General features: G+C 40.3%; 1 protein-coding gene across 11 annotated transcripts in view; it reads left to right on the top strand.

Moving 5' to 3' along the window:
• Positions 1-16,247, top strand: part of PIEZO2 (piezo type mechanosensitive ion channel component 2) — a 479,323-nt gene that overhangs the window by 76,326 nt on the left and 386,750 nt on the right. For all 11 annotated transcript variants that reach the window (XM_047437735.1, XM_017025918.3, XM_047437736.1 and 8 more), the window contains exon 2: positions 7,022-7,117. In XM_047437735.1, coding sequence (XP_047293691.1) covers positions 7,022-7,117 — 96 coding nt within the window. The remainder of the gene's footprint in view (positions 1-7,021; positions 7,118-16,247) is intronic.

Genomic DNA, 16,247 nt, shown 5'->3' with positions numbered 1-16,247 from the left:
AGGAGATGGGGACCACTGGGGGTGGTTTTAGAGCCTGCCCACCACCCTGGGCCACCCTTGTCCTCTCCATAGCTTGTTGGACTTTGCTATGAATAATGGTAACTAGAAGGTTGTGATGTGGGAAACCAAGACCAGGCTCTGTTCTCCCGCCTCCGAAGTTAATCATAGGAAATCTTCCTTAATATATGTATTTTGATTGCAAATAATATAAAGCCTTACATAGCAAAGTTATAAAAATTTGAAACAACAACATACATACAGAGCATATGCCATCATGTTCACAGAGGGCCCTGTGCTAAGTGCAGAGGGTGCGTGAAGGGGTCTGAGGCAATATCACACTTGATAAAGAAGCAGTTGTTGCCTGGGGGAGGTGGCTTATACCTGTAATCCTAGCCCGGCCTTGACCTTACTGAGCCCTTGACATTTCACTGGTGAGAAAGACACACAGAATAAGGATGTGGTACGGCGGTGAGGTCATGCACTTCTTGAAGACAGCACAGACTCAGGATCCCGACTGCAGTGGTGCAAACCTCAGCCAGGCTACATAGCTGTACCCACTGGGCCTGCTTCTTCACATGTAAAAAGAAATAAAAGACTTTGTAAAATGATGATAATAACTACAAGAGTTAATTGACGTGAAATGCATAGATCCGGGCTTGTCACACAGTAAGCACATTAGTATGAGCTATTACTAACATAAATGAATAGTTACATGCACTATGCATGCTCTTTAAGATGGTACAATCATGTGAGCGACTTTTATTCTTCTTTTGACCCAGAAATTCACAGAATTAGGTAATTTTATGTCCAACATGGATTAACATTAAAAAATCTCACCTAGGCTAAAAAAAAGAGAAATGTTCTATTTATTACATTTTTATTTGGGGGCCATGTCAATTGGGGTGATTTTATTGCCACCAGAAATTCTGCATACCTTGATACCCTTCGGTTTCTTTTAGATCAAGCTGTTTTCATTTTGTTTTTATTCATTCATTCATTTTGTAAGCATGGATCCCCTACTCTGGAGCAGATACAGTAATGGGTATGGAGATGACAGAGATAACAAAGATTCTACCCTACTGAAGGGCCCCACTGACGTAGAAGTACATGCAAGGGGTGCTGGATGAGACATAGGCTTGAGGGGTACCAGGGACTAAGAAATCTCTGTTGGAGGAGGGTATGGTCCTGGACAGCTTCCAGGAGGGGAAGCATGTGAGCTGTGCAGGAAGATGCCTGATGCAGAAAGGACAGGGCAGATGCAGGTGATGTAGTTTTGCAGTAGCATGGAGCGCAGGATGGGCACGGGTGGGAAACTGGAGCTGCTAGCAGAGCAGGAGCCAGGCAGCCCCAAACCCAGGGGAAGAATGATCACTTCCATGGCCACTCAGAGGGAAAACCAAAGTCCCCGGAGCCCTTGCAAGGCCTGGCATGATCCGGCCTCCTGGAGGCCTCTGCTTGCACACTGGGCTCTTTGGGGCTGTCTTCTGTGAGTTGGAAGGGTCAGGCTTGCTTCCACTTTGCCTGAGTGCTTCTCCTATGGGAATTGACAGGAATCGCTCACTCAGCTCATCACCTCCCTCACCTCTGGGCTTCAACCTCACTTTCCCCTGCAAGCCTCCCTTCCCCTAGGCTGCAGCCTTCCCTTCTCTGGCTGGACTTCTTGTGGACATAGCACTTCCTTTCCAACATACCACATGCTTTGCCTTTGACTATGCCCATTGTTCACTACTGTCTCCCCACCAGAACGTCAGCTCCCAAAGGCAGGGTACAATCTCTCATTTCCGTTTTGCTCTCTGATGTAGCCCAAACACCTGGGACAACGCCCATCACACAGTGTGTGCTCACTACATGTTTGTTGGCAGATGAATGACCAAATGTCTCTACAATGTTCTATAAAAGACTTCAACTCTGGATGAGAAATAAGCAGGAGAGAAAAAGCAGCTGGAAAGAGAATCCGAGCTTGTGTTCTTGTTCTTGTTCTTGCAGATCACCTATATTTGCCTGTCACTCCAATCTGTGGTGTGAACATTTCTTTCTGCTTTGAACCTTTAAGAAAGGAGGTTGGGATGTGGGGAGTGGTGTAGAAAGCAACAAATATGTGCATGACTCCTTTGGGATAAAAAGAACTTCTTTTCGATTCCTGTTCTCTTCTCCCATGGATTTTGCTTTATTGCATTTTTATTGCAATAAAATTATTGCATTTTGCTTCTTTCCTCGCTGACTTCTAGAATCAGCCATGGAAGCAGGCACCACGGGTTCTAATGCAGACCCTTGGCTGGAGTGTGCTATGCTCCTGTTGTCCGCATTCTGGGATTAGTGCTTCTTGATCTGGTCTTCCTGTCTGGGTACCCGCCACTCGCATCCTGATGTGTCCCCTCAGCCTGGACTGCGCCCTAGTCCCTGATGCCCAGCACTTCTGTGACCAGGAGCACTTAGGCCCAGTCTGTTCCCTGGCGTCCTCTGCTCAGTCTCCCGGGCCTCCCCTTCTTGCTTCCAGCTTCCTGGTTGTGGCAGCACGTTCACTGCACTTCCATAGGTTGACTTCCTTCCTTCCTTCTGGGCTGAAGCCCTTCTGCGAGGGCCTGCAAGGACATCCTTACCGGCAGTCACGACAGTCTAGTCTCCCTTTTGCAGTGGACTTCTTTTGTGAAAACCTTTCCCTTTGTGAAGCTAGGCTTTCCTGGTTTTTCTCATATCCGTCTCGAATTTTTCTGCTGCTTTTTTCTTTCCTACCTGCCAGTTTGCTTGCCCCCTCTCATCCCACATGTAGGCAGAGCTAAGACAAACACCTGCCTCCTTCGTGCCTCTCTTTAGTGTTCTTTCCTTCAGAGAGTTCATTTTTTCTTATTATTTCAACAAACATCTCTGTTCAGGGCTTGATCTCCATGCCCCTTGATAGTCACCGAGCAGGAATGTTGACAGTCTGTGGGGTTGGTCCCCTAAGATTATAGTGCCGTATTTTTACTGTACTTTTTCTGTATTTAGATATGTTTAGATACATAAATCCTTACCATTGTATTACAGTTGTCTATAGTATTCAGCACAGTAACATATGCTGCATAGGTTTTTGGCCTAGGAGCAGTAGGCTACACCATATGTCTAGGTGTGCAGTAGGGCATACCATCTTTGTTTATGTAAGCACACAGTTCCCACAAGGACAAAACTACCTAACAATGCATTTCTCAGAGCATATTGCTGATGCTAAGAGGTCCATGACTGTATTTGTGTCTTCTTCAATTTCTATTATCAATGTTTTATATTCTTCCATTTATAGGTCTTTCACCTCCTTGGTTAGATTTATTTCTAAGTATTATTTGTAGCTATTGTGAATGGGATTTTTTAAATTTCTTTTTCAGATAGTTCATTGTTAGCATATAGCAAATACCACTGATTTTCTTGTGTTGATTTTGTATTTTGAAACTTTACTGAATTAATTAGTTCTAACAATTTTTTGGTTGAATCTTTAGGGTTTTCTTAATATAAGATCATGTCATCTGCAAACACAAATTTGCTTTGCCTCTTCCTTTCCAATTTTGATGTATTGATTTCTTTTTCTTGCCTAATTCCTCTGCCTAGGACTTCCCGTACCACATTGAATGGAAGTGTCAAGAGTAGGCATCCTTGTCTTGATTCTGGTCTTAAAAGAAAAGCTTTAAATTGTCATTGTTGAGTGTGATATTAGCTGTGTGTGTGTTACATATGGCCTTTATTGTGTTGAAGTCCATTTCTTCTATATGTAATTTGTTGAGAATTTTTACCATGAAGGGTGTTGAATTTTGTCAGATAGTTTTTCTGCATCTTTTGAGAAGATATATGGCTTTTGTTCTTCATTCTGTTAATGTGGTGTATCACATTGACAGCTATAGGTATGTTGAACCATTCTTGCATCCCTGGGATAAAGCCCACTTGATCATGATGAAGGAGGCTTTTAATGCATTGCCGAGTGGGGTTTGCTTGCATTTTGTTGAGTACTTGTGCATCTGTGTTCATCAAGGACACTGGCCTGTAATTTTCTTTCCTTGTATTATCCTTGTCTGGTTTTGGTATCAGGGTAGTGATGACCACATAGGATGACTTTGCAAGTATTCCCTCTTCTTTAATTTTCTTGGAAGAATTTGAGAAGAATTGATATTATTTCTCCTTAAATGTTTGGTAGAATTCATGAGGTCCTGGGCTTTTATTTATTTATTCATTTATTTTTGAGGGGAGACTTTTTATCACCGATTCCAATCTCCTTACTTTTTACTAGTCTGCTCAGATTTTTTATTTCTTCATGATTCCATCATGGTAGGTTGTATATTGCTAGGAATTTATTCATTTCCTCTAGGTTATCCAGTTTATTAATGTATAATTGCTCATAGAAATCTCTTATAATCCTTTATACTCATGTGAAATCAGTGGTAATGTCTCCTCTTTCATTTCTAATCTTAATTTTTTGCATCTTCTGTCTTCTTCTGAGTCTGAGGTTTGTGGATTCTATTTCTTTTCAAAAAACCAACTCATAGTTTTGTTGGCCTTTTCTATTGGTTTTCTATTGTCTGTTTCATTTGTTTCTGGTCTGATCTTTAGTATTTCTTTCCTTCTACCAACTTTGGGCTTGGTTAGCTTTTCTTTTTCTTGTTCCTTGAGGTGTAATGCTAGGTTGTTTGAGATCTTTCTTTTTTTTTATGTAAGCATTTATTGCTATAAGCTTCTCTCTTAGAACTGCTTTTGCTGGATTCCATAAGTTTTGGTATCTTGTGTGTCCAATTTTGCTAATCCCAAGGTATTTTCTAATCTCCCTTTTACTTTCTTACTTTCTTCTTTGACTCATTGACTGTTTAGGAGCGTGTTGTTTAATTTCCGTGTATTTGCAAATTTTCTGAAATTCCTCCTGTTTTTGATTTCTAGTTTTGTACCATTGTGGTTGGAAAAGACACTTGATATGATTTCAGTTTTCTTAAAATTGTTGAGACTTATTTTGTGACCTAACTTATGCTCTATTCTGAGAATCCTCCATGTGTGCTTAAGAAGAACGTGTATTCTGCCGGGTGCGGTGGCTCACACCTGTAATCCCAGCACTTTGGGTGGCCAAGGCAGGCGGATCATGAGATCAGGAGATTGAGACCATCCTGGCTAACACAGTGAAACCCCATCTCCACTAAAAATATGAAAAATTAGCTGGGCGTGTGGCGGATGCCTGCAGTCCCAGTTACTCGGGAGGCTGAGGCAGGAAAATGGCGTGAACCTGGGAGGCGGAGCTTGCAGTGAGCTGAGATCGTGCCACTGCACTGCAGCCTGGGGGACAGAGCAAGACTCCGTCTCAAAACAAACAAACAAACAAAAAAAGAATGTGTATTCTGCTGCTGTTGGATAGAATGTTCTGTATGTGTCTGTTAGATTCATTTGGTCAAAAATGTAGTTTAAGTCTGATGTTTTCTTATTAATTTTCTGTCTGGATAATCTGTCCATTTGTAAAAATGGATATTGAGGTCCCTGCTATTATTACATTATAGTCTATCTCTTCATTTATATCCGTTGATATTTGCTTTATATATGTAGATGTTCCAATCTTGGGTGCATATATATTTACAACCATTACAATTGTTCCCTCTACTTCTTTGTCTCATTTTACAGTTCTTAACTTAAAGTCTATTTTATCTGATATAAGTCTAGCTATCCCTGCTGTCCTTTGGTTTTGATTTGCATAGAATATCTTTTTCCATCCTTTCACCTTCAGTCTCTGTGTATTCTTAAATGTGAAGTGAGTTTCTTGCAGGCAGCATATACTTGGGTCTTTAAAAGATTCTTTCATCCAAGCTATGTCTTTTGATTGGAGAATTTAATCCATTTACATTCAAGATAATTTTTTTTTTCTTAAAGAAAGTATGGTTACATTTGCCTTTTATTGCTAGATTTCTCCATTGGCCTAATAGGGCCTAATGGAGGAAAAAAATGTTATTTTTTATTTTTATATATTTAGGGTGTACAAGTGCAGTTTTATTACATAGATATATTGCCTAGTAGTGAAGTCTGGGCTTTTAGTGTAACCATCACCTAATAGTATACATTGTATTAAGGTAATCATTGGTAGCTAAGGACTTACTGCTGTCATTTTGTTTGTTATTTTCTGATTGTTTTGTACTTCAGTTTTTTCATTTCTTTCTGTCTTGCTGTCTTCCTTTGTGATTTGGTGATTTTCTCTAGTGGTATGCTTCGATTTTGTACTTTTTGTCTACTTTGTATCTACTATAGGTTTTTGCTTTGTGGTGACCATGAGGCTTGCATAAAGCATTTTATAGTATCACAGAGTATTTTAAACTGATAGCAACTTAACTTTAATCATATATAAAAAGTCTGCACTAGGCCAGATGCGGTGGCTCACGCCTGTAATCCCATCACTTTGGGAGGCTGAGGTGGGCAGATTACCTGAGGTCAAGAGTTCAAGACCAGCCTGGCCAACATGGCGAAACCCCGTCTCTACTAAAAATATAAAAATTAGCCAGGCGTGGTGGGGTGCACCTGTAATCCCAGCTACTTGGGAGGCTGAGACAGGAGAATCACTTGAACCCAGGAGGCAGAGGTTGCAGTGAGCCGAGATCATGCCATTGCACTCCAGCCTAGGCAACAGGGCAAAACTCAGTCACAAACAAAAAAACAAAAAGTCTGCACTTTTATAGTCCACCCCCAATAACATTTTATGTGTTTGGTGTCACAATTTACATCTTTTTGTACTATGTATCCCTTAAATTATTGTAGCTATTATTATTTTCAATAGTTTTGTCTTTTACCTTCAGATTTCTTGGTTAGATTTTAAGACCAGTGATGATGTATTTTAATTATCTGCTTCTCGTCATGCTCAACACAGTGATGAACATAGAATAAATACCTAATTTATTACTGTTTAATTGACATATCTATTCAGGAAGTGACACTGTTTGATCCAGTGACATCTGAGACCATCTTTTGTTATGCACCCCTGGTTTTGTCAACCTGCCTTTGTTAATGATCTTCTCACTCTCTTCTCTCTTCCCACCCACAGCATGTGCATTCCGATACAATGGGCTCTCCTTTGTCTACCTTATCTACCTCTTGCTCATTCCTCTGTTCTCAGAACCAACAAAAACGACGATGCAAGGTAAGAGAATTTTGTTATCGTATACCACAGAGTTATACAGTCTGAATGTATTTTGCTGGGCTCCTTGGGATGGCCTTTATCTAATGGCAGAGATGTTATCTATGCAGCAGGGCTAATATGGCATGGAGTGGGTGTCAAACATTTTAAGAACTACACTAAGTAGAGCTGTATAGAAGTTGTTTGTGATGCATGTTTGTCACTTACACAGTTAACAAATTCCCTATTAGGGCTTCATAGTAAGCATGGCAGTATCACTGGAATGTTTTGGCTAGTTAACACTACTAACTCAAAGTATTGTCAATAAAATAAGACAAATGGCATGACAACATTGGTACATACATTTGTTTTTTGGGTTGTGGGGAGAGTGTGGTGGCAACTGGAAGAGGCCGAGCAGCATTTGATATTTATGAGCCATTTACAGGAGAATGGGGTAGGAAGATTTGTCCCAGCCATAACTTCGTACATTAGTTGAGGTTTCTTAAATATGTCTCAATAGCATAATGAAAGAGAATAATTTGATTTGAAGATGTAGCTCCTCAAGTGTGTTTCTGCAACACTTCAGCTCCCATTCTGGTTACTCTATAAGAACCTGAAGGCATGGAATATAAAGTGGTGACTATAATTTCTGAGGCTCTAATTAGGAAACATGCTCTGGTTTGTGAATTTTTCAACTTCAAGTTCTGTCACAAGTATTAAAATTAAACCACACTGAGTTAATTTAGTAAATTGTCTTTTTTTCAAAACTCTACCGTTATGAGAAGTACGGCCTGTGCCAAATGTTGTAGGTGAGTGCAATGGCCGTATGTTTACATGAAAGGAAAAGGAAGTTGTTTGACCCCATCTATGGAGTGGTGTGGGAAAGGTCATTGGTGATTTCCTTGTTAGTGATCAACTCTTTAGAAAAAGAAGTAAAGACCACGGTGTACACAGAACAACAAATAATGACTCTGTCTTTCCCATTCTCCCTCATTCTCTGTAAACTTCATAAGGCATGTTATGATCATTCATCATAGTAGTTATGACTGCAGATGGCATGTTGATTTTCCTGTCTCTAAATAACAGTAATTCTAAGTCACCTAAATCCTTAATACACAATGCATATAAAGGGTAGAGAAATGTGAGTTTATGCAAATCCTTATAAAACTAAAAATATATTGTTAATGAGACCCCACCCACCACAGCCTCATTCCTAAAGGAATTAGCATAAACAGAATAGTTTCCGGCCTGAGAAACAAGATTATAGCATACAGGCAACTACTATTCTACGGTGTGGAGCTCCTTTTCCAAAGAAAGAAGGTTGTGCGTGCATTCACAATAAAGTGCTTTAAAAATGACTACCTTTATATATCCAATTAAGTTACCTATCACTTTTATATCAGTGTGGCCCTTTATTGTTTTATTTGGAAATCAAGTAACTGGGATTTCCCCCTACATACTTCTGTGACAACCCCTGACTTTTTCTTTTTCCCAAACTAACCAGCCCTGAATATGCAGCAATGTCAGACGTGACAAACAGTTGATGGTTTATGGACATCAGTTCATACTCAGATGTGCCAAGGACTGACACTATCAGGGACATCATAGGTGAAACATAAAATCAAAAGGAAAAAACTTAATCCTCTCTGCATAAAGAAATATCATGAACTAACAAAATGTTACAAGGTCAGTGCACAAACAGAGCACAAACAGGTGCACTGGCTTCTGCTGGCACTGCTCGTGGTAAAAGAGGAGGGAAGAAGGAGTTGGAAAGGAAAATCCACACACATCCTTCCAGTGAGCAACTGAAAGCAGCATTCAGATGACTTATTTTCCTCTTTCTCCATTTAGCACCAAGAACCATGACTAATATTCAACATAACCTCATTTATGTGTTTGTTTATATAGTTGCAGAGGGGCTCCAAGCAAGGATATCACATTTTTTTCTGAACATGTAGGCAGAACACATGCGTTTCTAAAATCTGTGTTTTGAGGCATCTTGTGTTAGACCAAGCTTGTCCAACCTGGGACCCAGGACAGTTTTGAGTGTGGCCCAACACAAATTTCCGAAGTTTCTTAAAACAATATGAGATTTATGCGAGGACTTTCTTTTTTTTTTTTGCTCATCAGATATCATTAGTGTCAGTGTTATGTGTGGCCCAAGACAATTCTTCTTCTTCCAATGTGGCCAGGGAAGTCAAAAGTTAGACACCCCGGTTAGACATTACTTGTGGTGCAAGGTCCTGTGTGGTGCATGATGGATCTGGAAGAGTGAATGCAGCATGGCTTTCTAGGGAAAACTCAGGTTCAAGCATACTCAGACTTTCCAGTGTGTGTTAATACACATTCTGTGAATTATATGAAAGTACATTGGCAAACTGAAGGGACTGTCAGCAAGTCCTGCACTCCCTGCTCCCGGGCAGCCTGCACCTGAAACAATAAGTTTGAATCAGCCTTAGGAGCCTGTTAGGCCACCATGTATTGCTGGCAGGATGTGCTAATGCAGACCCCACCTGAACTGGAAGTGGGATTCATACATGTAAGCATGGCTCCGTGGCCCTCTGCCCACCATTTGGTCTGATGAGGTATTTTTCTTGTGTGACTATTTTTCCAATGTGTATATCCATAGAGGTAGGTGCCCAGGATGTGGAGAATATTAGTCTCATAACTTAGAAGGTGGACCTTTGATGTCATTCTTGGGGCAGTCTTTTTTTTTATTATTATACTTTAAGTTTTAGGGTACATGTGCACAACGTGCAGGTTAGTTACATATGTATACATGTGCCATGTTGGTGTGCTGCACCCATTAACTCATCATTTAACATTAGGTATATCTCCTAATGCTATCCCTCCCCACTCCCCCCACCCCACAACAGGCCCCGGTGTGTGATGTTCCCCTTCCTATGTCCATGTGTTCTCATTGTTCAATTCCCACCTATGAGTGAGGACATGTGGTGTTTGTTTTTTGGTCCTTGTGATAGTTTGCTGAGAATGATGGTTTCCAGCTTCATCCATGTCCCTACAAAGGACATGAACTCATCCTTTTTTATAATATGCTGCATATAATATAATACTGCATAGTATTCCATGGCATATATGTGCCACATTTTCTTAATCCAGTCTATCATTGTTGGACATTTGGTTTGGTTCCAAGTCTTTGCTATTGTGAATAATGCCGCAGTAAACATACATGTGCATGTGTCTTTATAGCAGCATGATTTATAATCCTTTGGGTATATACCCAGTAATGCGATTGCTGTGTCAAATGGTATTTCTAGTTCTAGATCCCTGAGGAATTGCCACACTGACTTCCACAATGGTTGAACTAGTTTACAGTCCCACCAACAGTGTAAAAGTGTTCCTATTTCTCCACATCCTCTCCAGCACCTGTTGTTTCCTGACTTTTTAATGATGGCCATTCTAACTGGTGTAAGATGGTATCTCATTGTGGTTTTGATTTGCATTTCTCTGATGGCCAGTGATGATGAGCATTTTTTCGTGTGTCTTTTGGCTGCATAAATGTCCTCTTTTGAGAAGTGCCTCTTCATATCCTTCACCCACTTTTTGATGGGGTTGTTTGTTTTTTTCTTGTAAATTTGTTTGGGTTCATTGTAGATTCTGGATATTAGCCCTTTGTCAGATGAGTAGATTGCAAAAATTTTCTCCCATTTTGTAGGTTGCCTGTTCACTCTGATGGTAGTTTCTTTTGCTGTGCAGAGGCTCTTTAGTTAAATTAGATCCCATTTGTCAATTTTGGCTTTTGTTGCCATTGCTTTTGGTGTTTTAGACATGAAGTCCTTGCCCATGCCTATGTCCTGAATGGTATTGCCTAGGTTTTCTTCTAGAGTTTTTATGGTTTTAGGTCTAACATTTAAGTCTTTAATCCATCTTGAATTAATTTTTGTATAAGGTGTAAGGAAGGGATCCAGTTTCAGCTTTCTACATATGGCTAGCCAGTTTTCCCAGCACCATTTATTAAATAGGGAATCATTTCCCCATTTCTTGTTTTTGTCAGGTTTGTCAAAGATCAGATAGTTGTAGGTATGCGGCATTATTTCTGAGGGCTCTGTTCTGTTCCATTGGTCTATATCTCTGTTTTGGTACCAGTACCATGCTGTTTTGGTTACTGTAGCCTTGTAGTATAGTTCGAAGTCAGGTAGCATGATGCCTCCAGCTTTGTTCTTTTGGCTCAGGATTGACTTAGCAATGCGGGCTCTTTTTTGGTTCCATATGAACTTTAAAGTAGTTTTTTCCAATTCTGTGAAGAAAGTCATTGGTAGCTTGATGGGGATGGCATTGAATCTATAAATTACCTTTGGCAGTATGGCCATTTTCACGATATTGATTCTTCCTACCCATGAGCATGGAATGTTCTTCCCCATTTGTTTGTATCCTCTTTTATTTCATTGAGCAGTGGTTTGTAGTTCTCCTTGAAGAGGTCCTTCACGTCCCTTGTAAGTTGGATTCCTAGGTATTTTATTCTCTTTGAAGCAATTGTGAATGGGAGTTCACTCATGATTTGGCTCTCTGTTTGTCTGTTTTTGGTGTATAAGAATGCTTGTGATTTTTGTACATTGATTTTGTATCCTGAGACTTTGCTGAAGTTGCCTATCAGCTTAAGGAGATTGTGGGCTGAGACGATTCGGTTTTCTAGATATACAATCATGTCATCTGCAAACAGGAACAATTTGACTTCCTCTTTTCCTAATTGAATACCCTTTATTTCCTTCTCCTGCCTGATTGCCCTGGCCAGAACTTCCAACACTATGTTGAATAGGAGTGGTGAGAGAGGGCATCCCTGTCTTGTGCCAGTTTTCAAAGGGAATGCTTCCAGTTTTTGCCCATTCAGTATGATATTGGCTGTGGGTTTGTCATAGATAGCTCTTATTATTTTGAGATACGTCCCATCAATACCTAATTTATTGAGAGTTTTTAGCATGAAGGGTTGTTGAATTTTGTCAAAGGCCTTTTCTGCATCTATTGAGATAATCATACGGTTTTTGTCATTGGTTCTGTTTATATGCTGGATTACGTTTATTGATTTTCGTATGTTGAACCAGCCTTGCATCCCAGGGATGAAGCCCACTTGATCATGGTGGATAAGCTTTTTATGTGCTGCTGGATTCGGTTTGCTAGTATTTTATTGAGGACTTTTGCATCGATATTCATCAGGGATATTGGTCTAAAATTCTCTTGTTTTGTTGTGTCTCTGCCAGGCTTTAGTATCAGGATGATGCTGGCCTCATAAAATGAGTTAGGGAGGATTCCCTCTTTTCTATTGATTGGAATAGTTTCAGAAGGAATGGTACCAGCTCCTCCTTGTACCTCTGGTAGAATTCGGCTGTGAATCCATCTGGTCCTGGACTTTTTCTGGTTGGTAAGCTATTAATTATTGCCTCAATTTCAGAGCCTGTTATTGGTCTATTCAGAGATTCAGCTTCTTCCTGGTTTAGTCTTGGGAGGGTGTATGTGTCAAGGAATTTATCCTTTTCTTCTAGATTTTCTAGTTTATTTGCATAGAGGTGTTTATAGTATTCTCTGATGGTAGTTTGTATTTCCGTGGGATCGGTGGTGATATCCCCTTTGTCATTTTTTATTGCGTCTATTTGATTCTTCTCTCTTTTCTTCTTTATTAGTCTTGCTAGCAGTCTATCAATTTTGTTGATCTTTTCAAAAAACCAGCTCCTGGATTCATTGATTTTTTGAAGGGTTTTTTGGTCTCTATCTCCTTCAGTTCTGCTCTGATCTTAGTTATTTCTTGCCTTCTGCTAGCTTTTGAATGTGTTTGCTCTTGCTTCTCTAGTTCTTTTAATTGTGATGTTAGGGTGTCAATTTTAGAACTTTCCTGCTTTCTCTTGTGGGCATTTAGTGCTATAAATTTCCCTCTACACACTGCTTTGGATGTGTCCCAGAGATTCTGGTACGTTGTGTCTTTGTTCTCGTTGGTTTCAAAGAACATCTTTATTTCTGCCCTCATTTCATTATGTACCCAGTAGTCATTCAGGAGCAGGTTGTTCAGTTTCCAGGTAGTTGAGTGGTTTTGAATGAGTTTCTTAATCCTGAGTTCTAGTTTGATTGCACTGTGGTCTGAGAGACAGTTTCTTATAATTTCTGTTCTTTTACATTTGCTGAGGAGTGCTTTACTTCCAACTATGTGGTCAATTTTGGAATAAGTGCGGTGTGGTGCTGAGAAGAATGTATATTCTGTTGATTTGGGGTGGAGACTTCTGTAGATGTCTATGAGGTCCACTTGGTGCAGAGCTGAGTTCAATTCCTGGATATCCTTGTTAACTTTCTGTCTCATTGATCTGTCTAATGTTGACAGTGGGGTGTTAAAGTCTCCCATTATTATTGTGTGGGAGTCTAAGTCTCTTTCTAGGTCTCTAAGGACTTGCTTTATGAATCTGGGTGCTCCTGTATTGGGTGCATATATATTTAGGGTAGTTAGCCCTTCTTGTTGAATTGATCCCTTTACCATTATGTAATGGCCTTCTTTGTCTCTTTTGATCTTTGTTGGTTTAAAGTCTGTTTTATCAGAGACTAGGATTGCAACCCCTGCCTTTTTTTGTTTTCCATTTGCATGATAGATCTTCCTCCATCCCTTTATTTTGAGCCTATGTGTGTCTCTGCACATGAGATGGGTTTCCTGAATACAGCACACTGATGGGTCTTGACTCTTTATCCAATTTGCCAATCTGTGTCTTTTAATTGGAGCATTTAGCCCATTTGCATTTAAGGTTAATATTGTTATGTGTGAATTTGATCCTGTCATTATGATGTTAGCTGGTTATTTTGCCTGTTAGTTGATGCAGTTTCTTTCTAGCATCGATGGCCTTTACAATTTGGCATGTTTTTGCAGTGGCTGGTACTGGTTGTTCCTTTCCATGTTTAGTGCTTCCTTCAGGAGCTCTTGTAGGGTAGGCCTGGTGGTGATGAAATCTCTCAGCATTTGCTTGTCTGTAAAGTATTTTATTTCTCCTTCACTTATGAAGCTTAGTTTGGCTGGATATGAAATTCTGGGTTGAAAATTCTTTTCTTTAAGAATGTTGAATATTGGCCCCCACTCTCTTCTGGCTTGTAGAGTTTCTGCCGAGAAATCAGCTGTTAGTCTGGTGGGCTTCCCTTTGTGGGTAACCCAACCTTTCTCTCTGGCTGCCCTTTACATTTTTTCCTTCATTTCAACTTTGGTGAATCTGACAATGATGTGTCTTGGAGTTGCTCTTCTCGAGAAGTATCTTTGTGGCATTCTCTGTATTTCCTGAATTTGAATGTTGGCCTGCCTTGCTAGATTGGGGAAGTTCTTCTGTATAATATCCTGCAGAGTGTTTTCCAACTTGGTTCCATTCTCCCTGTCACTTTCAGGTACACCAATCAGACATAGTCCCATATTTCTTGGAGGTTTTGTTCGTTTCTTTTTATTCTTTTTTCTCTAAGCTTCTCTTTTTGCTTCATTTCATTCATTTCATCTTCCATCACCGATACCCTTTCTTCCAGTTGATCAAATTGGCTACTGAAGCTTGTGCATTCATCACATAGTTCTCCTGCCTTGGTTTTCAGCTCCATCAGGTCCTTTAAGGACCTCTCTGCACTGGTTATTCTAGTTAGCCTTTCGTCTAATTTTTTTTCAAGGTTTTTAACTTCTTTGCCATGTTTTCGAACTTCCTCCTTTAGCTCAGAGTAGTTTGATCATCTGAAGTCTTCTTCTCTCAACTTGTCAAAATCATTCTCCGTCCAGCTTTGTTCCATTGCTGGTGAGGAGCTGCGTTCCTTTGGAGGAGGAGAGGTGCTCTGATTTTTAGAGTTTTCAGATTTCCAGCTGTTTTTTCCCCAACTTTGTGGTTGGTCTTTGATGATGGGGTTTTGGTGTGGATGTCCTTTCTGTTTGTTAGTTTTCCTTCTAACAGTGAGGACCCTCAGCTGCAGGTGTGTTGGAGTTTGCTGGAGGTCCACTCCAGACCCTGTTTGCCTGGGTAACAGCAGCGGAGGCTGCAGAACAGTGGATACTGGTGAGCAGCAAATGTTGCTGTCTTGGGGCAGTCTTAAACATAAAATTCCAGTCTCTCTACTGTTCTGTAGACCGGGGCAGTCTTTAACATAAAATTCCAGTCTCTCCACTGTTCTGTAGACCAGGGCTATCCACTGTTTTGCTCTCAGTGCCGTCAACAGGACAAAGAATATCTGAGTATTATTAGATGCTTTCCCATGCCTATGTTTAAGCTGATGATTTGTTGCAAAGTGTTACATACTACTGTGCTATAGAAGAAAGAAGATGATCAGCAGTTAGATATATGACAAAATGTGAAAGAATTTTGTTTTTAAAAATGCTTGTAGGCTCAGTACACTTAACTGGTGGGTATTGTCTGATTAGTGAGGGCTGCAACTTACAGAATCATGGATTTTTAAAGTTGGAACAGCTTTTAGGAGTTATCAAGTGTATTGCAGCAACCAGTGGTGGAATATTCTACAATAGCCACGTTGACTGGTCACTTGGTTTCTTCTTAGATATTAATGGTACCAGGGAGCTATCTGCGGCCCTGGGAAGTCTATAGTATTATCAGACGGTTCTTTCTTGAATCAACCTGAAATCCACCTCCCTGCAAATCCAAGCTATTGTTTCCAACTTTAAGCAGCAAAGAAAGAGTTAACAGAGAACCAGAAAATCACTTTACAATACTGTTGTGAAGGGAATTATCAAAAGACAGGGATTTGACTAAATGACTTCCTGTTTTTAGAAATCTGGGCTTTTAGAGTTCTTGATTTGCTGTTTCAGATCTTGATGTGTGTAATTACCTCAGTAGATAAGGCCCCAACTAGCAATCAGGAATCACTCTAAGCTTTTTAAAAAGAGAACATTAAACAGAAAGGATTGGTTACTGAAGGGGATGGAAGATTTAGGAAGCCAAAAGGAATGTTGAAGCAACTGGAACATTGTCAAGGCAGGAAGGCTGGGGGGAGCCAAAGGGGCAGCATGAACAGAGCTCAAGAACGAGAGCCATCCAGGAGCCGCTAGACCCTCAGGAGAAGGTCCAGAAATGGCACTCTGTGCAACCAGATCTTGCCTGGGCCTCTTCACTGTCAGCTGTGTCCATCAGCTGTGAACATCCCAAGCTAGTCATTAGTTAAGTACCCACCATTGATCCAATGTCCTCTCCCT

This window comes from Homo sapiens, chromosome 18, assembly GCF_000001405.40.
Source record: "Homo sapiens chromosome 18, GRCh38.p14 Primary Assembly".
Classification (NCBI taxonomy): Eukaryota; Metazoa; Chordata; class Mammalia; order Primates; family Hominidae; genus Homo; species Homo sapiens.
Note: the sequence above shows the minus strand (reverse complement) of the source record. Positions and strands in the feature narration are given on the sequence as shown.